At 47.5% G+C, this 25,418-nt stretch overlaps 2 protein-coding genes, 1 long non-coding RNA gene and 1 other non-coding gene across 20 annotated transcripts in view, besides 1 other annotated feature; 2 read left to right on the plus strand and 2 right to left on the minus strand.

Annotated features, from left to right (window-relative positions):
- The window catches only part of TG (thyroglobulin), a 267,942-nt gene that overhangs the window by 173,335 nt on the left and 69,189 nt on the right, over positions 1-25,418 (plus strand). The gene's annotated exons all lie outside the window — the stretch shown is intronic.
- The window catches only part of SLA (Src like adaptor), a 65,875-nt gene that overhangs the window by 3,565 nt on the left and 36,892 nt on the right, over positions 1-25,418 (minus strand). For 2 of the 9 annotated variants that reach the window (NM_001045557.3, NM_001045556.3), the window contains 5 exons: positions 19,808-19,908; positions 10,524-10,623; positions 9,610-9,696; positions 7,538-7,641; positions 4,692-4,823 (listed from right to left, as the gene is read on the minus strand). In NM_001045557.3, the coding sequence (NP_001039022.2) occupies positions 4,692-4,823; positions 7,538-7,641; positions 9,610-9,696; positions 10,524-10,623; positions 19,808-19,908 (524 nt within the window). The other 7 variants (NM_001282965.2, XM_047422110.1, XM_047422107.1 and 4 more) reach the window with 6 other exon arrangements.
- Positions 6,189-6,289, minus strand: MIR7848 (microRNA 7848). The gene has a single exon (NR_107002.1). It is a non-coding gene; the product is annotated as a microRNA 7848 (primary transcript).
- Positions 8,720-9,919: an enhancer, noted in NCBI's record as "BRD4-independent group 4 enhancer chr8:134061257-134062456 (GRCh37/hg19 assembly coordinates)". NCBI's record gives its function as "activates an origin of replication core promoter dependent on BRD2, P300/CBP, MED14 and CDK7 cofactors, and independent of BRD4, by STARR-seq in HCT116 cells {active_cell/tissue: HCT116}" and the evidence as "EXISTENCE:reporter gene assay evidence [ECO:0000049][PMID:35650434]".
- On the plus strand, positions 14,667-17,475 carry PTCSC1 (papillary thyroid carcinoma susceptibility candidate 1). The gene has a single exon (NR_146773.1). It is a non-coding gene; the product is annotated as a papillary thyroid carcinoma susceptibility candidate 1 (long non-coding RNA).

Raw genomic sequence — 25,418 nt, forward strand, 5'->3', positions numbered from 1 at the left:
CACGCGCCCAGCTGTTTGAGAAATGTAAGCGTGCCCTGGTATACTCTGCACTTAGCCAGGCATGGGCAGAGAGAGAGGTTTAAGATCCAGTATCAACCAAGCTTGGGTTTGAATTTTAGCTTTACCCCGATAGTAAATTATCAAGAACGTCTCTGAGCTTTCCTTTCTTCAACTGCAGAATGAAAGAAATGAAGCAACAAGTGAGTGCCTGCAGAAGCCGCAGCCTTCCAGGGTTTCCCGCAAATGCCCAATCCATTAACCTCACAGGGTGTGAGAATGGGGCTGCATACAGCGCTGATCCCCCCAGTTGTGCATTTACAATGGAACAGGTGGACTAAATAGATCTCTAGGAAGAAAGATAAAAGAAACAATGAAAGAAGGAAGGAAAGGAGGGAGGGAGCAGAGGAGGAATGAAAGAGGGCGAGGAGGAAAAGCAAAAGTGAGAGGGAGAAGGAGGAAGAGGAGGAGGTGAAAATAGCACAAAAAGTAGAAGACACAGGAAGGGAGGGAAGAGAAAACAAAGATAAAGAGGGCAAAGAGAATGCAGACAAAGAATGAAGACAATCTCTCTTTCACTCTAGAAGCTCACGCACAAAAAGAATAAAAGTTAAATAAACCCGTTTCTTTTTTCTCTTGCATGAAAATCTCTGTATAAAATGTCTGACTCTCAGGATCCCCCATCTTTCCAGGCACATTACGATGTAGCTTCCGTCTCTTGGAAGGCTTCTCCCTAGCCCATGTTATCATGAGAAAGACTTGATTCTGCTGTACTCAGCCATCTTAGAGATTGAGGAAATTCTGCACAGTCTTACTCAGGCTGAAAACCCCAGTGCTTCTCCTGTGCCCTGGGGGGAGATGATGTGGTCAAGGGGGTGAGGTGCCACTGGCCTCCGGCAGGGCTAAGCCACCCCTGGCCTCAGAGCCAATCCACCACCAGGTTTTCGACAGCACGTCACACCTCTGACAGGCCCCACTTCCCATCGGGTTTATGGAGTGCTCTCTGGGGCATCCTTGCCAAAGAACAAAAGGAATTTGTAGCAGAAGAAGCACACTCAGTCTGTCACAGGGCGGGCAAGCCAGGAAGACCTCGTTTCATGGTTTTCAGTCCGACTTCAACTGTGAACTCAAATGTCCACCCACACAGGTGCCCTTGGAGAAATGGGAGGTGAGACCATGAATTTAGAGGGAGATTTAATCGGGTGGGAATCTGAAATAATGACCTGTCATGGGTTGGAAATTGAAATGACCTCCCAGGATATGAGGCGAGGAAGATGAAGTCAGATGCAAAGGCTGGAGAGATCAGCTGCAGTGTGCAGCACAGGCAGGGGACACTCCGTGAGTGTCCTTCCTTAGACAGGTTAATACTCAGGGTGAAAAATACATTTTGACAAAGAGCAAAAGAACCACCACTCATAAGCACATAACATGAGCCCAGCACTGAGCTAGCCTCGTACCCTGGATCTCATTGAGGCCTTGATCAGCTTGTGGTCAGTTTTTTTTTTTTTTTTTTTTTTTAGACGGAGTCTTGCTCTGTCTCCAGGCTGGAGTGCAGTGGTGTGATCTTGGCTCATTGCAACCTCTGCCTCCCAGGTTCAAGTGATTCTCTTGCCTCAGACTCCCGAGTAGCTGGGATTACAGTTGCATGCCACCACACCTGGCTAATTTTTTGTATTTTTAGTAGAGATGGAGTTTCACCATGTTGGCCAGGATGGTCTCAATCTCCTGACCTCATGATCCACCCACCTCAGCCTCCCAAAGTGCTGGGATTACAGGTGTGAGCCACCACACCCGGCTGTCAGTGTTTTTATACCCATTTTGGGGAGGGAAAAACTGAGCATCCCGAGATGAAGTAACTTACTCAGGGCCGTAGAAATGTGACCAAAATCAATCTTATTGACTCATTCTAAAAGCAACTCATTGCCTCTTAAATGAAGAAGAAAGACATCCTCCAGCTGTCTCTTGGGTTCAGACCCCCTGGTCTAATTCACCTCTGTCTACATGGCTCATCAGAATGCACACTCCTCTGCACCTTTAGGGTCCAACAGCTCTATATTGAAGGGTTCCTAGACCCTCAAGGTCCCCAGCCCTTGATTTTCCCAGCCATATTTTAGAATTCATGTATGCCCCATGCACTCTGTTCTCTCAGTAACCACCATGCATGGTATACTTTAGGTGCCACATTTTTCACATGCATCTTTTTTTTTTAACTGGACTAGTGGCAATCCTGTGAAAATTATTGCATTTTAATCCCCATGTTGTAAGTAAAAAAATTGAGCTTCCAAGATGCCAAGTAATTTGCCTAAAGGCATCATGATGAAAATTATAAGCAACCTGTTGCTAGATGTCAATTCAAACCCCTGGTGCACAATTCCTCTCATTCTGTGTCTTTTTTTTTTTTTTTTTTTTTTTTTTTTTTTGTGAGATGGAGTCTTGCTCTGCCACACAAGCTGGAGTACAGCAGCACTATCTCAGCTCACTGCAACCTCTGCCTCCTGGGTTCAAGTGATTCCCCTGCCTCAGCCTTCCGAATAGTTGGGATTACAGGCGCCCACCACCACACCTGGCTAAATTTTGTATTTTTAGTGCAGACAGGGTTTCACCATGTTGGTCAGACTAGCCTCGAACTCCTGACCTCAGGCGATCCGCCCACCTCAGCCTCCCAAAGTGCTGGAATTACAGGCATGACCCACCATGCCTGGCCCATCTGTGTCTTTAGAGTGAATCCAGTGGAGATAAAAGTGGCCATGTGGCTCCCACTTGGAGATTCTCAAGGGGCATAGGAAACAGTTCCGGTTTTTACCCTTTTCAGTTATTCACAGAGGTGAACAGATGACTGTAATCCATTGAGTGGTTCGATGACCAGGAACATACTGCGGGAAGGCGCCAGTGCTGCACTGGGGTGAGATATTCCCCATGGTCAAGCAGCGGCAGTTAGATTTCGGTATTTTTGGCCTGGTAGCCTCATGGCCTCATGGTCCCTAGAAGCTTTGCTAGGACAGCATCCTTCTCATGTTTGCTTTTGTCTATGCAAAACTTATGGTCTCCACACCCCCTCCGATGGTTGTTATTAAAAGCCAAATACCACAACCAACCTTTTCTCATAACCAATATAAGTTGGCTGTTTCCAGGACTCCCTTCCTCTTTCGTTTTTACCTGGCTGCTAAGTTTTCGGATATCACAAGTAATATGTGTTATCATTTATTTTGCATCTGCTATGTGACAGGCTATGCTGAACGCACTACATGAACGATTGTGTTTAATAATCACCTGCTAGGAGCCCATATTCACCCACCTCCCATAAATGGGGACCCCAAGTTCTGAGGGGTAGCTGACCTTGCCCAAGGCCTCACAAGGTGCAAATCTGAGCTTGGACCTGCCTCTCCTGAGCAGCCATTTTTGCCTCATGCCCCACTGCTTCTCGTGGGCCAGCTGTGATAACCAAAGCCCTGTGGACCCATTTCTCCTTGAAATGCACTTTGCTTGCTCAGTTCAAGAGCCCATATGCAAGAGAATGCCAACAAAGTTGCCCCAGTGTGTGAGGTCAAGCATCCTGAACCCAGAAGGGGGAAGATGCTGTCAAAGCAAAAGCAACCTCTTTCTTTCCTCCCTCCAATATGCAGAGGAAGTGGGGAGGATGGCAATGTTCCGCTGGGTAAAAGTGGCTGGCATTTAATGGGAGCTCACGATTATGGGCCAGGCACCCTCCCCACTTTCCATGAACTAACTCTGTGGATCCTCACGGTGTCCTTGGGAGGGGGAACTACTAGTGTCTGCCTGGCATAGATGAAGAAAGTGAGACACAAACAGCCAACCTCAGGCTGCCTAGCTAACAGTGAGTGGATCTGGGATAGAAACAGAGCTTCCTGAGTGGGTTTTTGGAAATGTAGCATTTAGCCAACCGTTCACAATTTCTCCCTTTTCTGTAGGGTAAAGTTCCGATTCCTGAGCTGACATTTGGGCCTTTCACAGTATAACTCAACTTTCTCTCTCTGGCAGTATCCTACACTCTTCCAGCCACCACACCACATGATGCTTGCTTTATCTCAGTGGATGCTCCCCATCTTATCAGCCTGGGAGAATTCAGACCTCTCTCCTGGGTCTGTGAAGGGCACAAAAATGAATTAAATGTAATTCTTAGTCTTTAGGAGCCTGTTGAGGAATACAGCCTAGCACACAATTAACCAGGCCACGGGGAAGCATGATCGGAATGCTGGGAAAGAAACCCTTGGCATGCTCTGAGCACAGCGAAGACAGGTAGCCACTGCTAACTCCTATAGCTTCATCGCAGAGGCGTTTCATGTTGGTCTTGAAGGCCAATGAGGATTCTGACAAGCAGAAAAGGGGAAATGAGTGGCACTCTATAACAAAGCCCCAGAGGCTTGAATATGTATGGCCCACTTAAGGATGTGCAAGCTGGTTGCAGTTGTGAATTTAGGCACACCCTAACTTGTTTAATGTACACTTCGAGAGAGGGCAAATTTGAGATTAGCTGCATTTGACTTATTAAGGCAACATGCACAGGCAGTCTGTTTCAGCCTGAAATTTACAGTCTGAATTAACGAGAGAGCATATCATGAAGGCAGCATAGGCAGTAAGCAAGACCCCTCTGCATTCCAGACGGATGGCGCCACAGAGCAATTAGCTAAGAGGGGTCCCACCATCACAATCACTCCATATTGTATGTCTCTTACCAGAATAGTGGTTCACCAGGTCCTCCAGGCACTGGAAGGTGAGCCTCGGGGAAATGTAGTACCAGTTGTTGGGCAGACGGAAAATGCGGTAATGCTTTACCTGCCTGTGTCTCACCGACAGTGAGTAAAACCCTGCAGGAGGTGGAGGATAAGTCAGTGGGCTCCACCTGTCCTCACCCCAAGGCACCCAGCTAACCAGCCCACCACCACTGAGGCAGGGAGACCTGCCCACCCTTGGGATACAACAGTGATGCTAGGATGCAGCCCCTCCCTCCACTAGACCCTTCTCTGTTTAGATGTTGCTTCCCGTTAGAGACTGCAGAAGTGTATTATTGTGTCAAAGCAGATATGTTCATCACATGGTCCTTACAGGTTTTCAGGAACACAGGTTTCATCCTCTTTGCTTTTTTTTTTTTTTTTTTTTTTTTTGAGTCTGGGTCTTGCTCTGTCACCCAGACTGGAGTGCAGTGGTGCCATCTCAGCTCACTGCAACCTCCATCTCCTGGGCTCAAGGGATCCTCCCACCTCAGCCTCCAGAGTAGCTGGGACTACAGGCATGCGCCACCACGCCCAGTTAATTCTTTTATTTTTTGTAGAGGTGCAGTGTTGCTACATTGCCCAGGCTGATCTCGAACTCCTGGACTCAAGTGATCCGCCCACCTCGGCCTCCCAAAGTGCTGGGATTACAGGCCTGAGCTACCATGCCGGGCCTCATCCTCTTTGCTTTTTGAGGCAAACACATTTGGGGTGCTTCCACATCCTGAGGCCAAATGGAATGATTGTAGTTTGGTTGCAACCTGTAGCTCCAGGATCCATGGTCGTTTTTGGACTCCTTCCCGAGTACTCTCCAAGATGTGATCCCTACTGTTTTGCTCTTTCAGCCCCTGTCCCACCAATGCTGCCACAGCACACATTTGAGGGGGTCCTTGCAGTTATGCCCCCTTTTCCTTTGTCTATACTCTCTCTGACTTATGCTTAGTCTTCTCAGAAATCTGGAGAAGCTGAGTCATCTTTCTGGGTATCCGTAAGAACCACGTGAAAGGCGGGTTATTGCTCCTTAAGCCTCGTTAGAGCAATGACCTGATATGGGTTGGTAAGAGTAGAACCGCAGCCATGTGCCTCGATTTCCTCAAATGCAAAATGAAAGAATTGGATGTAGGCCATGTTTCAGGGTCCTCTCTTGCTCTGGGGTTCCAGGAGTAGAAAACACCCAAGAGACAGAGGAGAAAGGGAGCTGATTGATTATTTGCTATCTCTGCTGGGCAGGGCTAAGCAATTGCCATGAAATCTCTATTAATTCTCAGAAAGATCATAGGAGGTATTGCCCCCAATTATTTTAAAGATGGGAAAACAGAGGCCTAGAGCCCCTATGGGATATGGCCAGAGGCATGGGGCTTGGAAATGCCACCCTGGGGTGTGACCCTTGTCCTCACACATCCCTCACAGTGCTCTAGGCCTGCCGTGAGTCAACCCAGCATGAGCCTTCCCGTAAGGTCAGCAGAACTGGGAGTGTGGTAAGCAGACCGAGGGTAGCAAGTGAAACACTGTCAGAGCTTTGCATACCCAAGGTGGGCCTGCCACACCCACCCAGCCCCAGCACAATGGCACATCTGCCTGATGACATCGTTATTTTTAGATGAGTTACGACACCCACCCTGGGTTCTTCCTCCCTTTGGCCAGGCCAGCTTAGGAGTTTCTTTCTGAGTCGGGGCATCCTGCCTCCGGGGACCTCTAGGACAGGCACAGGATGTTTTGCTTTTGCATTGATCTTTCTGTACCCCAGCATATTTGGGTTTTTTAGAGAAAAGTTGATCGCAGATTTTTTTTAAATCATATATATGTGGTCCCTGCTTTCTGAAAGCAAGGCTGATGCTCATTTTGGTGAAGGGCTCTAGCACCAGGTGGCTTTGGCACTTATTAGGTGCATGGGAAGTACTCTCAGATAGTGTGTTTTCTCTTCTTTGATATTGAATGTACAAGAAGCAAGCCAAGAACTTGAAGATACCTTCTGAATTTTAAAAAAGTTATTATTATTATTCAGTCTGGGAAAACCCTAGCTGTTAAGTATTTGGGGATAAACATGGTACTCTCCTACTGTAAATCTCATGGTCTAGATCAGGGAGCTGAGGCTTAGAGAGAGAGAAGCAGTAAATTAGTAATTTGTAAGGCTAAAATTGGAACTTGGGACCCTTGCTTTGCATCATGACAAAGAGCTCACTCTATTTGTGTTTTTACTGTGGTACTTAATGCATATGATGCAAGGAAATTGTAATGCTAGTGATGATGGTGACTGTGTGAGAGGACACATGTGATTCTCGGAGCTGTCTGATTTAGTTACGGAGCACAGAGGAAACTGATATCGGGACTGTCTGTGCAGCAAGAGCAACACAAATACTATGACATTTGAATCTCACCACACCCTTACAAGGGAGAGGTGTTCTCTCCATTTCACAGATGAGAAAACTGAGTTCAGACAAATCAGTCACAGAGCTTGAGAGCACAGCCCAGGCCCATACCAAAGGCCACATTCTATCTGCACAGCATGCTGCCTACACACTGCGTTCAGTTTTGTTCTCAGTTGCTGGAAAAATTTCCAGCAGGAGTCATCAGGCCTGATGTTGGCCAGGCCCGTGGCAGTGCCCAGCCGGCTCCCCACTGCCTGTCTCTAGTCCCCTTGCTTCCCCACTGGCCTCCCCAGCAGCGTGTGGGCTGCAGGGAGCTTAACTACATTGGATCAATTTGCATGGACGTAGGAGGAAGGAAAATGAAGCCGTGTAATGAGTCAGCCAGGAGCAAAACATGCTTGTCTGCCCCGGATGGGGAAAGATGAGTTGGGGGCCACTCACCTTTCTTGGTCTCACTCTCTCTGATCATGAAGGAGCCGACCTTTGTGTCTGGCAGCTGCAGCAGCTCCTCGGCCTTGTCTCTGCCCAGGCCCTCAAACAGCCAGCTGGGAAGGAGGAAGACAGCCATTAGGATCCGGAACAAGCCCTCCCCCAGGAAAGGCAGGAATGCGCCACCCACCGTACTAAGCACCTGAAACCTAATCCTCACCTCAACCCACTGAGACAGGAAGCATCATCTCTCTTCCACAGATGAGAATACTGAGGGTTCCAGTGATTAAGTAGTTTGCTCAGGAAACCATGTCAGCAGTTGATAGAGTTAAAATTAGAATGCATTTTTCTGGGACATCCAATTCCATAACCACCTCACTTCACTGCTGCTCTTCCTTTTATTTATGTAATTTTTTTTTTGGAAATGGATCCCTGCTCTATCACCCAGACTAGAGAACAGTGGCGTGACCTTGGTTCACTGCATCCTCCACCTTCCAGGTTCAAGTGATTCTCCTGCCTCAGCCTCCCAAGTAGCTGGGATTACAGGCATGCACCACCACGTCTGGCAACTTTTTGTGTTTTTAGTAGAAATGGGGATTCACCATGTTGGCTGGGCTGGTCTTGAACTCTTGACCTCAAGCCATCTACCTGCCTCGGACTTCCAAAGTGCTGGGATTACAGGCGTGAGCTACCGTGCTCAGCCCTGCTCTTCCTATTTGATATGTTAAGGGATGTGATCACCTCTGTTGGATTGGTAGCCTCATAGGGTCATAATTATGTCACTCCTCCTGGTTCCTTACCACCCCCAGCTCGTGCCAGCTGCAGCCTCACATCTTCAGCATGAAGGCATTGATGCATGCTTGCTAGTGAATGAATGGCTCCAGGGCAAGCAGCTGATGTAGGAGAGTCACGTGACTCCCATCTCTTTCAGAACGTGACTCCCACGGCAGCTCCTGCTTCAGTTTTGTTTAGCTTCATCATCCTAAGCATGGAAGTGGCATCTGGTATTCACAATTAAGATCATGAATACTAAAATTAAACTCGCAGAATTCCAGTCTTCAAAGGATTCAGGTGGTTATCTCTGTTTTGCAAGATGAGCATGTGGCATGTAGAGTCCTCTGGACATGAAGAAGTAACTTAGTGTTTATCAATGGATGCCTCCTTCTTTCTTTTCCATTTCCAATGTGCTTTGCATTTCTTTGCCAACTTCCAGCTTCCGACACTTGACAGATGAGGATAATGTAACTCCAGGAGGTGAAGCGACTTTTACAGGACCCTCACATGGAAGGAAGGAAGCCAAGATTTGTGCCCAGGTGTTCAGGGCTCCAAAGCCACCCAGGAGGCTGCAGAGGCCTCACTGGAACGACTACAGGGGAAAGCAGGGTGCTTATTTTCTTATCTGTTGAGCCTAGTTTTCTAAGATATCTCTTGTTTATCTTACCCATTTTTCAAGGAAGGCACATAAGCATTTTTGGCAGTAAGGATTCTGTGTGTTTCTGGATAGGTATTTGATTAGAATAGAGCTAATATTTATCGAGTGCTTACTGTAATGCCTGGCATTGCTCCAAGAACTACACATGTATCATTACATCTTATTCTCCTAACAACCCTACACTTTGATCATATTATCATATATTATTATCCCTGTCGTTCTATGTTATGATCTCTACTTGACAGGTGAGGAAAGGGAACTGATGCATAAAAAGCTTGTTCACTGGCACACAGCCAGTAAGTGACAGAGGCAGGATTTGAACCTAGACACACTGACTTCTAGTCTCTGCACTGTGCTGTGCCCTCCCATAACATTTCCCAGCTGTTTACCACTCTGTGCCAGGAGCACCATGTTAGAGCTGAAAGGTCCAACTTCCTTCATTTTACTGAGGGAGAAGTTGAGTCCCAGAGAGCAGAAGAGATAAGTTAGCCCAAGGTTGCTCCTTTCCTTATTGACTGGGTTGGGAGCAGGACTATCTCTTCTTGACCCAGTGCCTTCCTTACCACTATGAATGCTGGAATCTTTGTTCCACCTTATGAGTCACCAGCATACGCATCATGCTTAATTGCTGCCATTTGAGAAATGTACTCACCCATGGTAAACTCTGGCCACACATATTCCAGGGATGTAACTCTCTCGACCAGTGCTAAGAGAAATAGCTTTCCACCAGCCCCCTTCACTGTAAGAACAAGAACAGAGAAGAACACAGAGATAGGTAAATAGCAAAACCAAAGGATGAATGAACAGAGTAATCAGATTTAACCCAGGACAGTTTGGAACATTCCTCTTTTAAGATCTGTCACTGGCCACGTTAACCCATATTTCGTCATCTGAAAATTTTCTTTTTAAAGGATATGTGTCCAGTGGATAGCCCTCCATTGCAAGCCAACTGGTAAACCCTCCCATGTGCTAGAAATAGCTGCTTTTCAGGGATTAGCAGCTAATGTTCCCAACTGTTGGAGGCTTTTTAAAAATAAATGTTTACTATGTTGATTTATGCTCTGCAGTATAGCCAAAGATAGTTTCATATATCTGAATCAGTGAAGATCTAAATAAAAGGGGCTTAGAACTTCTGTCATGTTCTATAGCCCATATTGAATCAGACTGCAGAGGTAAGAGGAGAGAAGGCAAATTTTTGTTTTTTCTCATCCGAAGGATTTCCAGACCCTGGGGGCTGCCTTCCCGGTCTTCATTCCTACATAACATCAACACTGCACATGTGGTGGGAGATAAGAAGAATATGAGAAGAGGCTGGATCATAAAGGATCTCAAAAGCCAAGTTAAGGAATTTAAATTTGATCTACCAGGCAGTGGGGAGCTATGGAAGGTTCTAGAGCACTGGCCACATTAAAGAGGAAGGTTGCAGTATGGGTCAAATTTCTCACCTCATAATAGGACCAGGACTCATGTGGAACTAGACCACTCTAGCTAACAATCAAATACTTTTCTCCCAAACCAAGTTTATCCTGCTTTGAAGATTGCACAAGTTTTGGAGAGCTGACTCACTCAGAAATCACACGCAGTTTCTCCCCTCGGCGGAATATCGGGGGGCTGATGTCAGGAGACGGGTAGTCACTTAGCACGGCAAGGAAGTCGCTATCCAGTCCTGGGGAAACAAAGGCAAGGGGGAAGGGGGCAAGGTGCTTTTTATTCACAAGGAGCTTAAAGGTAGGCTTGGGAGGGAGGGTATGAAGATGAGATTTTCCAGCAGGAAATACCTTTCTTGTTTTGAACCACCAATTTACAGCAAGGTCCTCTCTTCAGAGATGGCTCTGCAGGGTGTGCGTACGAGCCCTGAGGGTCAGGTGACATGCTCCTATTCTTAAGCCTGCCTTGGCCCTCATGTTCTCATCTGAGAAATGGGATCCAAAGGCTGTGAGATGAGTCATGGGGTCTGGCTTCAGCGCCTGTTACGAGTCTACTAGCCTCACCCTCTCCATCTTTAAAATGGGACTAATACTACCTCATTCCAGGGTCCTTAGGAGAGGAGATGAGAGTATGTTACACCACATACGTTCACATAAGTTGCTGTAAAAACCCCCCTTCTCACTACCAATGCCTCGGGTGTCCACTCTGGGACTCAGAGTTGTTATATCTATGACACTTTTGGGGAAGGAGTGTGAGGCAAAATGAGTTCTGAGGACCCATTAGGACCATGAGGCAGTAACTCTGAGGTTAAACAAAATACTTATTTCTTGCAGAATATAAGGCCCCACGCTGGGCATCTATTTAATAGGGACATTTGTTGAGGGTGGGGGTGGTGGAAGAAAAACTTAGTACTTTTCCTAATAGTGTATTGAAAGGAATTCTGGTGAAGTTTTGAAAAGGAAAGAGGGCTGTCTGGTTCCTGACTGTAGAGGAGAGACAGTGATTTTGCTTTTTGACACTGAGCGATACGTCTGCTTCTATCCTTAGTGATTTGATGTAATTCAGATGCATTAGATGCAGGGTAATATTTGGATACATTTTTGGGGGAAATAACAAGATGTCTTCTGTATCAGCAAATACAGTTATTATTTGCTATGACTTTCATCACTCCACCTGCTGGCTGGGACTTTGAACTTAAAATTCTGGGTAACATCACCTGTTTATTCATTCGGCAACTACTTACTGAGCACCTGTCGTAAGCAGCATAGGTGAGAAAAGCAAGCCCATTCTTGCTGCTTTCACGGAGCTCATGTTCTACAGGATACATAAATAGTCATGGGAGGAACTGTTCCCTGGTTCGCTCACCCCAAGATCTGGAGAAATCCCAGTACTCAGGCATGTGGGCTTTGGGGCCCAAACAAGCCACTTTCTAGGATCCACACACCTCTAGATCCTGCCTCTTACAACTCATATGTCTTGCAGCCTCCGAGTCATAAGCCTCTTGGGCAGACTAAGTCTAAAGAGAGATTAAATACTAGAATCAGTGAGAAAGATGAGTGAGGTTTTGGGCAAAGGTTATGCTTATCGATTGATAAATAAATTAGAAACAAGTAATCACGGTGGAACAGTGCAGTCAAATGTATTGTTCATTTGGGGAAGCTGAGTCCCTGACAATAAGCCATGTAAAAGCAAGAGTTTCTGGGTGTAAGACAGAAACCAAGAGTGATCTTTAGTGGCTTTACAATATGGAAAGGGATCAGGGCTTTTGAGAAACAGTCGTGTCGGGACGTAAAAGGGCTGGCCCAGCCAGACCTCTGACCTGTCCTGCTGCAGACCTTCCCCAAACCTGTGGGGGCAGCTCCCTCACATTCTGCTTTGCTGAATTCAAAAAAGGGATTCTTCCCTGTGTAGCTTTGACTCCACCCCAGTAAGTAGAGGCAGCATTACAGTTGTGTTAAGTTTGAAGCCAGAAGTCCCAAGTTCTCACAAAGGGCAGGTTCACATTTGGCAGGGCATAAAGCTTAAGCAAATTTGGCAGTCCTCTTTAAGAAAAAAATACACAATTGCAAATACAAAATGAAGGACAGACCCCAGCAAGGTGCTGTACCAGCAAGGGGGTCTCAGGCGTATGATTTGTTTGGCTTCCTGGCAAATCTGCCCAGAAGCTGAGGCTGACTTTGCCACTCACTGAGTGGGACGCCTCCTTCTCCTCTTGGGCCTGGGTTTCCTAGTCTGGAAAATGAGAGGTTGAAAAACACCTTCAAGATGGAAATCTATCTTCCTGGACTAATGGCCCCCACATATGAATGGGCCGTTTATTAACATGGCACTGTGCTGCCTCGGCTACATGTGATGGGCCTTTCTCCAACTTGCCAGGCACCCTGGTTCTCAGAGCCTCCGGATAGGCTGTTCCCTCTGCCTGGAACACACCCTGCTCTTCCCTCCTTCACCGTTCCCACCTTTGTCAACTCTAAACTCACCTCTGCAGAGGCTCCAGAGGAGGCTCAGCCTTCCTGCTGTACTAATTCTTCCTCTTGGCCCCTAAGATTTTCCTCTGAAGCGGTTACCCCAGGTTGCATTTTCCCATTTGTGTGACTGTCAGGGGAATGCCCATCTGTCCCCACCCCCGGCTGTGAGTTCCGGGAGGGCAGAATACTGGTGTCTTCTGTGTCTGTAGCCTGTGCCACACCTGTTTTACAAAGGATGCTCAAAGCAGGCTTACTGAATGTGCAGAGCGGTCCCTGTGCTGCAATGCCCCTTAAATACAGCTGTCAAGCTACAGTTTTAAAGCAGATCCAGGCAGAAGGAAACCTGATTTGTGGGAGGCAGCTGGGTAGGTGGCCATTGTGGAACCAGCCCCTTGCAAAAAACGTGTTGAAATGGGGAGGCACAGTGTGTGTTCTCTGTGACAATAATAGAACCTTGAGGTAGATGGTGTGTCTACAGAGGGGTTTGAGGTTTGATATCAAATTCAAGATTAAGACTGTGGAACAGAACAATTGTCTTTCCTAACATTAAAAACAAAAACCAACAGAAACAAAAACAAAAGCAAAATCCCATTATAAAAACCACTGTTCCAATGAGGGAAAGGGAGGCTTAGAGTGTTGGAGAGTTTCAATTTCACAATAACAAAGTTAAGTTTCCTGTGGAATTTCCGTAATAGTGATGTTTTGATAGCTATGGCACTTAAACATCACTGAGGAAACTTTACATCTGGGCTTTTGCTTAAGGGTCAGATAACCTGTGCCTGATCCTTTGCAAGAGATTTCACCTCTCTTTATCATCACCATTAGCCAAACGGGACAAAGTCACTGGGAAGGTATTACAGTTTGGCTTGTACTTCTGTGGGGCAGGGTGGCCATTTTAAGCAAGGCCTGGTGCCAGGATCCCTTCAAAGTCTTCCCTGAGCTTTGGTTGCTACAGAAAAATAAATGCAATGTAGGAAATTTAAGTTTGTTGGTAAAGGTGAGACATATTATCATCTACTCCTAGAACTCCTTAGCTTTATGGAGAGCTCAGCGTTTGAATTCAAGCAGAGATAAATGAGTGAGGCAGAGAAGAGGAGAGTTGAGGAAGTCAGTGGAATTATTGCAGACTTAAGATAAGGAAACAAATTAAGTGAAGACATATGCACTGCGCATGAAAGAAGAAACCCAGAGAGAATTTTCGGGAAAGAGAATGGGGCTTTGAAACCAATCAGAACTGGCTTACATCCCACCTCCGCCACTACACAGTGATGCGATTTGGGGGGAGATTTATTTTTAACTAATCTGAGCTTGATTTCTTCGTGAATAAAAAGGGAAATTGCCAAAATCTGCCTCATAGGATTGAGTGAAGGATTCAGGATGCATTGCATTTTAGGGCCTGCCTTAGTAAGTGGAAGCTAATATTATTTTCATGGAGAGCGGGGTCACCAGACCATAACTCAAGACCAGTGTTAGCCAATAACTTTCTAAAATTTGCAAACTAGTAAACTTGATAATTTCTTACTCTCTAAAAATGAACTCCACTTGGTGAGAACAGAAGATGAAATTCAAAAGACCAAATATTTGCTGATAGCTCAACTTAAGAATGAGTCAAGTTGAACAAAATGTACAAAAGCGTAAAATAGGAAACGAATCCACAAAGGGGAGGGACCCAGGCAGGCCTTACGGGACTTAGTCAAGAGAGGACGGGCCCTTTTGTAAACTGTCATTCTTTGGTGCTGCATGACCATTTCTTTTTAAATGCTGAGAACATTCTCAGTCACTCCCACTTATAACTGTCTAATAAAACTAGTCGTTTGTCACTTCCAGTGCCCTGCCCAGCCCTACAGAAAATACGTGATTATTTAAGGGTGAAGAAGCCAAAGCTGGGAGAGTTTTAGTCACCTATCTAGGGGAAAGTGTGAAGATTTCAAAGCCCAGGGTCCTTCACGGAGCCACACGGCTCTCCTTGGCACTTAATCTTCAAGCTCTCCTCAGCCCACACTTGACCCTTAACAGGGGAGACAAAGGCAGACTCCAGGTAAGTTGTCAGGGTTAGCATAAGCAGCTCAGGGCAACTGGTGGGTAGGGAGCTGTACAGCCCAGGGATTGCAGCCTCTTGTTTTGCATTTCCTGGAGTCATGGCTAAACTCATGGTCTCCTCAGGGGTCAAAGCAGGCCTGACTTTCAGTGTCATCTTCAGGACACACACACGCACGCGCGCACACACACACACACACACACACACACACACACACACACACAGGATTATACATGCAACTAACCAATCACACAGAGCTGGACCATCTAGCCTGGTAGAAGGTCTGCCGAGTTCTGCGGGTCACCATGAACCAGGCTTGTGAGCCCTCTTAGTCATATGTAAAGGGCTGTGTTTGAGACCCGGTAGCCCACAAAGCTCTTTTCTGCCCAAGCCTTGGTTTTTCCGTATGTTAGTGGGGACAGATTGGAACTAAACAGACCTTGAGTCTTTTCAGGGTCAGTCTCAACTCTCTTAGATGCTAGAGGGATATAGGCAGGGCTAGCACAGAACAGAAGCAAGAAATAGTCAAAATGAATATTTTGGACTGCATAGACTCAGAATGTGCTTTACTTGGGCACCCAGGGCTTCTCAGACTTCAGTTGTTTTCATTCCACCATTCCCTTCCTCCCCCTCCTCATCACCAGCAGCAGCAGCAGCAGCAGCAGCAGCAGCAGCAGCAGCAGCAGCAGGGCGCACAGCTCTGGGGGGAATCAGGCACTGGGCTGTGGTGGTACCGAGGTTACCCCTGAAGTCCTCACGCCTCCCTGTGAGGTTGATAGATTGAAACTACCTTATTTTGAGTATGAGGAAATAGAGGCACAGTGAGGTCCAGAGACCGCCCAAGAGCACACACCTAGGAAGCTGAGTGCCAGGTTTCAAAACCAGGTCTCCCTGGGCAGGGCAGGGCATGGCTGTGTTTGAACCACTCAGGTCTCCTTTGACATAGTTGACAGCACTAGTTACTTGATAATGTCTTTTTAAAAATTAATTTACTTAAAAAAACTTGAGTGCTATTCTAAGCAATGTGACATCGTGGATTTCTTGGGCTAGTTATATATTTTATGATGTTCATCAATGTACAATTATGTAAAAGTTGAATGATCAAGTTCTGCCTAAGACCATCTCATGTACCAGCAGCGAGGTTAGATTCAAATAGAAAAAAGGGATCTGGTCCAAGATTTGACACGGATTCACTGTCTGTGGGACCCCTTGCTAGGGCACTTGATCATCTGGGTCATTAAATCTGGGGGCCAGGCACATTCTCATTCATTCGAGACGAGCCCATCCTCTTCCAGAGCATGGGGGCTTCTTGAAACCCTGTCCTTTCCAGGCACACACTGAGGTGGGGAGAGGGACCCTGGAGTCAGACCACCTGGCTTTGAATCCCAGCTGTCTCCTCTGAGCTGTATGGCCTAAGGCAAGTCATTTAAGCTTCTTGTACCTCAGATTCTCCAACTGCAAAACGGAGATGATAATAGGCAGAAGCCTCGTGGGGCTGTGAGAATCGAGTCTGCATATGTAAAGCACTGGGCACTGTGTCTGGAGGCTGTGAGCACCAAGCGGCTCTAATCATTCCCGTTTTACAAAGGAGGACAGAGAGACTAAGGAGATAAACTCTTTCTCATCTCTCGTTGTGTGTCAGTGCAGGGGCAGGACTAAAAGCTGGTCTGTGGTCTGCAAGCTTTAGGGGTTACAGAGTCCCCAGGAACTCCTAGGAAATTCAGCTGGCGGCTACCTTCCACCATCCCCAGGTTCTGATTCGTGGGCCTGGGGTGGGACCCAGGAATCTGCATTTCAGTTACTTCCCAGGGGATTCTGATGCAGGTGGTGCGAAGACCACTTACTGAGAAGCTGCAAGCTGGGTTTGAGAGGTCCCTACCTCCTTCTTCCTTCCCCGAGCCCCACCCGCCCCCTTCTTTCCACTGGGCAACTATGTAAACAGCATTATTTCTACCCTTGCACGGACAGAAAGGGGTCTGTGCTGCTGCCTCTGTTGGTGCCTCTTCAGGTCAGGGTGATAAGAAGAGAAGGAACAAAGAGGGGAAAAAGATCACAGCAGAGAGACAGAGTGCTCATTTTAAGGTGGAAATATGCCATTTCCTGACCACAGCGGGACTTCCCTAGGTTGTATTAAAAAATCCTGTACTGCCCATGTCTGGTACAGAAGTATGTATAGAATTGTAGAGAAAATGAACACTTTGGGATGATTTGAAAGCAAATTACAGAACTACCAGTTTCACCACTTTAAAACTTTTGGGGAATGGCCATTTAGATATAACCTGGTGCAGTCAGGTAACCCCAAACAGAGTTTTTAAAAGTTTCCACACCCTTCTTTGCTGGTGCCTGCCCTGCATCATGCTGTCGCTGTGAGGAGGGACTTGTTCCAGATCTCTGGGGCAGCCCGAGTGACTCACCTAAAGTCACACAGCTTCCACGGAACATTACTGGAAGCTCAGTGAGGGCCTTCTGCCTCTGAAACTTGCTCTATTTCCCTCAAGTCCTGCTTCCTTTTGTAGGTTTAAGACATTAGTTCCTGAGAAATTGACTAATCAAGAATATTCTGGAAATCTTAGTTTAGCAAAACAAAAAACAAAAAAAAAAAAACAAAAAAACAGATGGGTAAAGCCATGTTCCAAGGCATTCACTGTCCTGGCTTGGGAGAAGAATGATCTCCCAAAAGCTCAGAAAACATGGTTGTCTAAAAGTGTCCAGGCTGGCCTCTGGGTGATCCTTGTGCACGGCCAGGGTCTGTGGAGGGTCTGTGGTGCCTCTCTGGCACTGAAGCTAATGTGGGAGCTGGCTCTAATTGCACATTGGCCTAAAGCAACCAGCAAGACCTGCACCGTCTCCTAGGTTACTTGTTTGAGGGTAACCGGATGAGCAGCCATAGGAGCTTGAGCTGAGTAGCAGCTCATTCCATAAAAACTCTGACCCTGTGCATGAGGCAGATGGGGACTACTTAACACGGCATCACTGCACCGCCTTCCCCTCCCTTACTCAAGTAGGTAGAAGAGAAAAGAGGAAACAACGTTAGGACCAATGATCGGGGGAACGTTTCAGGGCTGGGGGTTGAAAAAGCAGCCCACCAGCGCTTGATGTGGTTGCCTGGATCACAAACGGGGTATGACCAGGGGAATTCTCTTCACCAGGGGGTGGAGGGGTGGGGAGACCCCTCTCTCTATGTCTGTTCTAGAGGTGACCTCCCACCCACATAATGGAACAAAATCAACTTATTTCATGACAATTTGCATTGAAAAGTTGAAGGCAAATGAGCAAGCCTTGGAGACTGATGTTTTCATGAGGTTCGCTCAAGCATGCTGCCCCCTCTGCCCCAGGCTGAGAGGTGACGACCCAAGATGGGTTCGGTGGGTGGGTGCCTCCCCAGCCTGCCTGGGCTCAGGGCCCTGCGGTGTCAGTTTTCTAGCAGTGGTTATGACCAGAGGAGGAGGCTGTGGCCAAAGCCAGTTTGGAGAGGGTGAGAAAGAGCCCGGCATTCTCCTGACAGCAGCAGCAGCTCAGCCACCCTGCACGTTGCACGCTGTTCTGAGTGTCGCATGGGAGATAGAGGGCTGCTGTCCTGAGAGCACATGCTCTGTTCCACCTTGTCATCTGGTTCCACCTCCTTGGTCCTGGGGAATATTCTTTTTGTTTATCCCTCTTGCATTTGGCTTGAGAAGGAGAGTTACTTCACTAGATAAATAAGAGCACTAGGATTGTTCTGCATCTGACTTGAAAGGGGTGTGGGGTGGCTGGGTCTTGGCATGCTGGCTTGGGGGCATTGGAGGCCATCAGACCACACAAGCTGGGCCTGTCCATTTTGGAAGCAGTGAGAAGGCTCCTTTGTGAGGGAGCCACAGAAGTCATGAAATGTGCAGTACCTGGAGGCAGCGCAGGAACCTGGCTCAGTCCACTTCCCTGTCAGGCTCGGCAGACAGGGCAGCCATCTGCGCCAGTGAACTCCGCCCAGGGCGGTGCTGCAGGGGCTGCTGGGAACCATGTGTGGTCACCCCTGCGAGGAAATGGGACACCAGGCCCCAAATGCTACCATGTAAGGTGGGAAGCAGAAGTGTTCCAAGGTGCCCCCTGGCTTCCCTAACCGTCCCTTTCCCAAGACCCCACAATATGAGAATTATGGACTAGGAATCTGAGGAAATAAAGGTCAGGCCATTAGAAGGGGCCAGCATAGCTGAGTCCACAGCATGGTGGATTTGATGTTCAGCCTTTTCCCTTTGTTCACTGGTGTTCCCTCCCAGGCCTCTGACCAGTTGCTGAGGGACTCTTTGTAGCTTTGGGAGTCTAACCAAACCTGACATCTCTCCAAAAAGCTGACTTTGGTCATCACTGATTAACCTGCAATATTAGGCTCTTCCCCCGAGAATGCTTGTCACCTTGCAATCCCACCAATGGGACATAAGGTTTCCTTTGTTTTCAGGAAGATGTCACAGGATGGTGCCTAGCTTAGAAAAGTAACACAGATCCAGCTCTTGCGGGGCTAAGTATAAGGATGATATTATATTATGGGCTGCCAGAGTTTGGTAAACAGGAGTCTAGGTTTCAGAATTGGATGGGCCTGGATTGGAAATTTAACAGCAAATGCCCAGTGATGTGGATCCCATTCCCTTTGTGAGGCTCAGTCTCCCTATCTGGAAAATAAAGTGATTAAACCAGCTGATCTTGGAGATCCATCTCAAAATGCCAAAGATTTGACACCCTTCAGGTGCGCCGAGCACCCAATTCTTTTCGTCTTTTAATTATGAAGTATTTGAACCACAAACAAAACTAGAGAGACAGATATAATGAGCCCTTCGGTACCCATTGCCCCATTTAAGTAGTTACCGGCATCCACCACCGCCCAGTCTTTACCACAGGCTCTTGTAGCACAGACTCAAGCATCTCACCAGAGAAGCCAGACTTACCCTCCGGGTTGGGCAGGGGCCTCTCGGCAGGCGCAGGGGTGGATTTCATGCTGTTTCCCATTTCTTTCTTTTTCCCTGGGGCCGCTGGTGATGCCCAGAGCCTGTGGTATAGGAGACAGACGGGGAAAGTCAACCGTGCCCTGAGCCCTCCAAGTGGAGAATGACCCAGTTTAGAGAGCATCGTGCATCATTTTTCTGGCAGCTTGCTTCTTGAAAGGCGGCTGTTTATATGTGAAGATGAGATTGGTGAAGATTGGTTACTTTTGCGCAGCTCAAGTTCTTTTATCAAGGGAATGACAGAAAAACCACAGAGAGGGAAGTTGCTAGCAAATGCTGTTGGTGGCAAAAGTTTCCATTCCTCCGCACCCTTGCTGAGGATGGTAAGCAGCCACAGCAGGGTTTGTGTGAGAAACCAAGCAGCATTTCAGGTGGCCCAGAAAGTATCTCCACTCAGGGGCCCTCACCATCAACTCTGTGTGCCAGGAATTTGGAGTACAGGAGTTGTGTGTCTGTACAACCAAAGGCATGAGGAGAAGGTACTTTCTGCTGCTACTTTTTGTCATCCTTTTGAGTTTGTCAGCATGCTTTAACAAAGGATGAAAGAGGAAAACTTCATAACAACTCTGTGGACTGGCTGCATGCTGCTGAAGCCCTTTCACATCAACTGTTACTTTTGATCATTGTAAAGTCCTTGCATCATGCTTAAGCCCATTGTGCAGTGAGGGAAACTGAGTCTCAGAAGGGGTAAGTGACTTGTATGAGGTCACATGGCAAGTAATTGTAGAACTGAGATTTGAACCACTGATGCTAAATCTCTGGGTTGCTCCATAACGGTTTTCAAGTTAACCACCCAGGCTTAAATTCTGGCTGTGTACTTACAAGCTAGATGACTTCGGGCAAGTCATTAACCTTTTCTGTTTTTGTTTTTTTGAGACGCAGTCTCACTCTGTCGCCTAGGTTGGAGTGCAATGGCACGATCTCGGCTCACTGCAACCCTGCCTCCCGGGTTCAAGCGATTCTCCTGCCTCAGCCTTCCAAGTAGCTGGGATTACAGGCACACATGCCACACCCAGCTAATTTTTGTATTTTTAGTAGAGATGGGGTTTCACCATGTTGCCAGGCTGATCTTGGACTCCTGATCTCAGGTGATCTACCTGCCTTGGCCTCCCAATGTGGTGGGATTACAAGCATAAGCCTCCATGCCTGGCCAAGTCATTAACCTTTTTCTGACTGTTTTGGGGAACACTAATTGAACAGTGTTGGGTTATGGTCACAAAATTAACTGAGATAAAGCATGGGAACCACTTTGAACGTGGCGTGGCATAGAATACATGTTAGTTATTACTCTGTTTACTGATTGTCCTTAATGATAAAATTTCCAAGTCTGGACCTTCATACAAATATTTTGGAAAGGGACATAGATTATCAGAGAATAGGGTTTTAGGGAAGCCACGTTCCCTCTGGATGGTGGAAGCACAGAGAGGAAGGCCACATTCATAAATAGAGCTCTGCCTGCTTTGTGGGGTCAAAGAGAAGAGACGGAACAGGGTCCCCCCATCGGCCTCCAGCCCAAATGGAAACTAATCTCCCACCTACCTGTGTCTGCAGCTCAGGATCAAACCTTATGAAGGGCACAAAAGTCAGCCCATCCAACTCCCACCCTGGCCTTGAGTCCTGTCTCCATGCCCTATGTGTACAGGTTCTGGAAAGAAGTACACTCTCAGAGCAAGGCCCTCCCCGGGTTGAGGGAGGTCTGCACTGCTCCATAATTTAAGGGAAGGGGTGGTGTGAGGTGAGACTCCTACTATATTAAGAAACAAGGAACACCAAAATGAGAGTTGTTTAAAAGTCCGTATATCTTAGACATTTACATGAACAACTTGTCACTTACTGCTCAAGCTAATGCATAGTAATATTCCGAAGACAATGACCAGGCTCGCAAAAGCTATAAACTCATAGTGCACCACAGAAGGGTTGGCTAGAACGGGCAGCATGTTTAAAGTGAAGCGCAAATCCCATCCTTTTTGGATCCTGTTGATCTTTGTGACTAGAAAAGAGGATGCCCTTGCAAATTTGAGGCTCGGGCCCTTCTTTCTTCATGCTTGCCCCTACCCTCCTCACAAACCAGAAAAACATGCGCACCCAAAATCCCAGGGCCTCTGACCCTGGTAGGAACTTTCTAGCAGCTGGGCAGGTTCTAACAGCAACACCTGCAGTCCAGGAGGGCAGGGATACATTGGCCTTGTCTCCATTCCTGAGCCTGGCGAAGGTACCCAAGAAATGTGCTTCCCCAAAATGCTTACAGAAACACAGCAGGTGGCGTGACTCCAACCCACATTCCCCGCAGTTCAGCAGACACTTCCTGGGCATCTCCCCGGTGCCGGGCCCTGGGCTAGAGCCTTGAGGAAGTCAGGATCCCACCCACGTAGTGGGAGTGTGCTGCCTCCGAGGCCCGGGTCAGGCAAGAGGGAAGAGGCAAACCAGGCCTCCCTGGCCCTGAGGGGATTGTAGCCACAGGCGCTGTCCTGCACAGGCCTCGGGAAGCATGCGTGTGACATGCAGAGGCCGCTCTGCACAGGCCTCAGGAAGCATGCCTGTGACACGCACAGGGTGTCGTACACAGGCCTCAGGAAGCATGGGTGTGACATGCACAGGCTGTTCTGCACAGGCCTTGGGAAGCATGCGTATGACATGCAGAGGCTGCTTTGCACAGGCCTCAGGAAGCACACATGTGACACGCACAGGGTGTCTTACACAGGTCTCAGGAAGCATGTGTGTGACATGCACAGGCTGCTCTGCTACGCACAGGCCTTGGGAAACACACATGTGACATGCACAGGCTGTCCTGCACATGCCTGCCTCTGTCCTGCTCCTTGGGCTTCCTGGTACCTGCCAGCTGCCTTGGTTCCTCAGCCTCCTTGTCTATCATCACCGAGGCCTTTGGGCTTCTGGGGAAAGTTCTCAACATGCAGAACTAACTCTGAAACCACATGTGTGCTGGCCTTGCCCATTTGCCACCATCTCCAGTGTCCCCAGACACAGCAAACTGTCCCAACAATGCCTTCCTGTCCTTTCAGCCTGACTCATCAACTGTCATTCAACACCTAGTGATTGTGCCCAGAACCCCGCCCCCATAAGTTCCACCCCTCCAGATGCCAGGGTGCCCCCAGCCCTGCCAGCCTTCCCTCCCCTCCATCCCCTCCCCCAAGCTGCTTCTAAGCAGCAGGCTCCCACCACAATGTCTGATCTCTCCCCTCCTTTATGTCAACCATTCCAGAAAACAAGTCAGAACAAGATTTTGCTATCCATCAAAGAGAATTCCAACATCCTCTCTCTTCCCAACAGCTCTATCATTCTTCTCAAGCATTTGCATGCTATTTTGGAGGGATTCCTGGAATCCACTACAGAAAAAAAAAAAAGCCTTTAAACTTGCATTGTTGAGATTGGAGAAATGAGGTTCATCCAGGAAAAGAAACGTACCCAGGGTCATGAGATGAGAAAGTTTGAGTCAGTCCTAGAGGCCTGGGTTCTTCTACGCTAACAGTCTTCTCTGCTGTTGCTTGCACTCCCACCCGTTCTGTCTTGCCAGTCAGAGTTCAGTCTCCGTGACAGAAGGTGCTGTGTCCGGGCTATATGACCACCAAAAAAACCATCAGGTCTCAACAGCCCTTTAGTGGTCTGCTCAGTGGCTTTCTATAGTCTTCAAGAAGGAGTTAACTTATCTGAAAGAGGCTTTTATTTGAGAAGAGTGAAAATGCCCCCAGAGAATGAGAGCTGGAGTCTCTCTAATGAAATGGCTGAACAATTTGATTTAATCTGTGACAATTTTATGCAGTGGCTGAAGGTGGGAGAGAGGGTACCGGAGACATAATTGCTTCTAAGAACAATAGAAAAGGGCAAAAGAGAAATGAGTTAATTAACACTGGCTCTGCAAATTCTTGATTTCTTTCTCCCTTTCCTTGGTGGTGTGACTCTTAGGTTTCTGGGTCATAGAATCGTAACTGCTATTACCTTATTTTCCCTCCGGTCTTTGGACCAATGTTATTTCCTTTGTGTGAACTTGGACCTTGGTTTCCTGTTCTGAAAAATGAGATGAGTAGAAAAGATGATCTCCAAAGAGCGAGCCTGATAACCCCATTTAATTTTAGCAATCAAGACTCAATGGTTTTTAAAAATTATTAATAAAACAACCATTGGCGTTTTTCAAATGAAGTCCTATTAGACAGAATCCCAATCTTGCCTTTGTGTGCTACAGGATCAAGGGAAGACAGTTAATGTGTACAACCACCTTCTGTGAGGCAATCTGCAGATATTGTTGTATTTAATCTTACAAGCATTCCCAAGGGCAGATACTCTTTCACTTTGTTAGTGTGAGATCAGGGGTTAGTCACCTGCCCACTGTCCTGGAGCTGGAAACCTCACATCTCCGGACTTCAGGACCTACACTTTTTGTTCAGGACCATGCTGCTGTCTCTCCAGCGTAAGGAACTCTGGTCAGTGTGCAGCTGGCTGCCATTTGAGCAGAAACATGGCATGGAGAGGTCACATACTGGCATGGCGTTGCCGTCGACAACGTGGGATATGCCGGCCAGCAGCCCTCCTCTTAATAGGTTTCTGTTTCGCAGATCTGGGTCCTTTCATTGTGTGCTCTGCATTATCTCATAAATCCAGGTGGGGAGGCTTCTCAGAACCTTCCATTCCTGGGACAGTGTCCCAGGACAGTTGTATGCACCTGGTCCATCTTGTGCTTCTGATGCCTGGCCTTGCTGCTGGGAAGGAGGGTAGCCCGAACCCCTTTATCGTGCACCGAAGGGGAGACAAATTGAGGAAGTCCAACCAAGGGAAGGCAGGTCATAAAGCCAGGAACTGAACCCTTGGTGACAGTTAGAATTAATTTGAAAACATACTTAGGGATGCTACCTTCCCTTTGTTCTTAGAAATTTCTGCTGCAAAGTGTGACAGCTATAAGCCCATTCATATAACCTTCTTCTAAGGCATGGAAGTGTGGTGCGGCAAGTGGAGAAGCCTCAATGTCCACCATATATGTGAATGCCAACAACAACGGTGATGACCAGAACACCCCCATCCCACAATTGGTCAGCAAGCATCCTCTGCCAGGCACAAAGCTAAGTACTGTCCAGCCAGTATGTCCTGGGTTGCTCAGAACAACCCCACTTTATAGCTGAGATAAATTAAGTGACTTGTCCAAGGTTATACTGCTAGGAAGAGCTAAAGCTGGGATTCCAGCCAGGTCTGCCTGGCTCTAAAACCTGTGCTCTAACTCGCCACCAGTGCTGCCCTGTTTTGCTGTCCTCTGACAGAAAAGAAGAGATTTTCAAACCCAAGAAGGCAACAGAAAAGTGATTTTTAAAAGTTATCAGGCCGGGCGCGGTGGCTCACACCTGTGATCCTAGCACTTTGGGAAGCTGAGGCAGGTGGATCACGTCAGGTCAGGAGTTCAAGACCAGCCTGGCCAACATGGAGGAACCCCGTCTCTACTAAAAATACAAAAATTAGCCGGACATGTTGGCACATGCCTGTAATCCCAACTACTCAGGAGGCTGAGGCAGGAGAATCACTTGAACCCAGTGGGCGGAGGTGGCAGTGAGTT

Source organism: Homo sapiens, chromosome 8 (genome assembly GCF_000001405.40).
Source record: "Homo sapiens chromosome 8, GRCh38.p14 Primary Assembly".
NCBI lineage: Eukaryota > Metazoa > Chordata > Mammalia > Primates > Hominidae > Homo > Homo sapiens.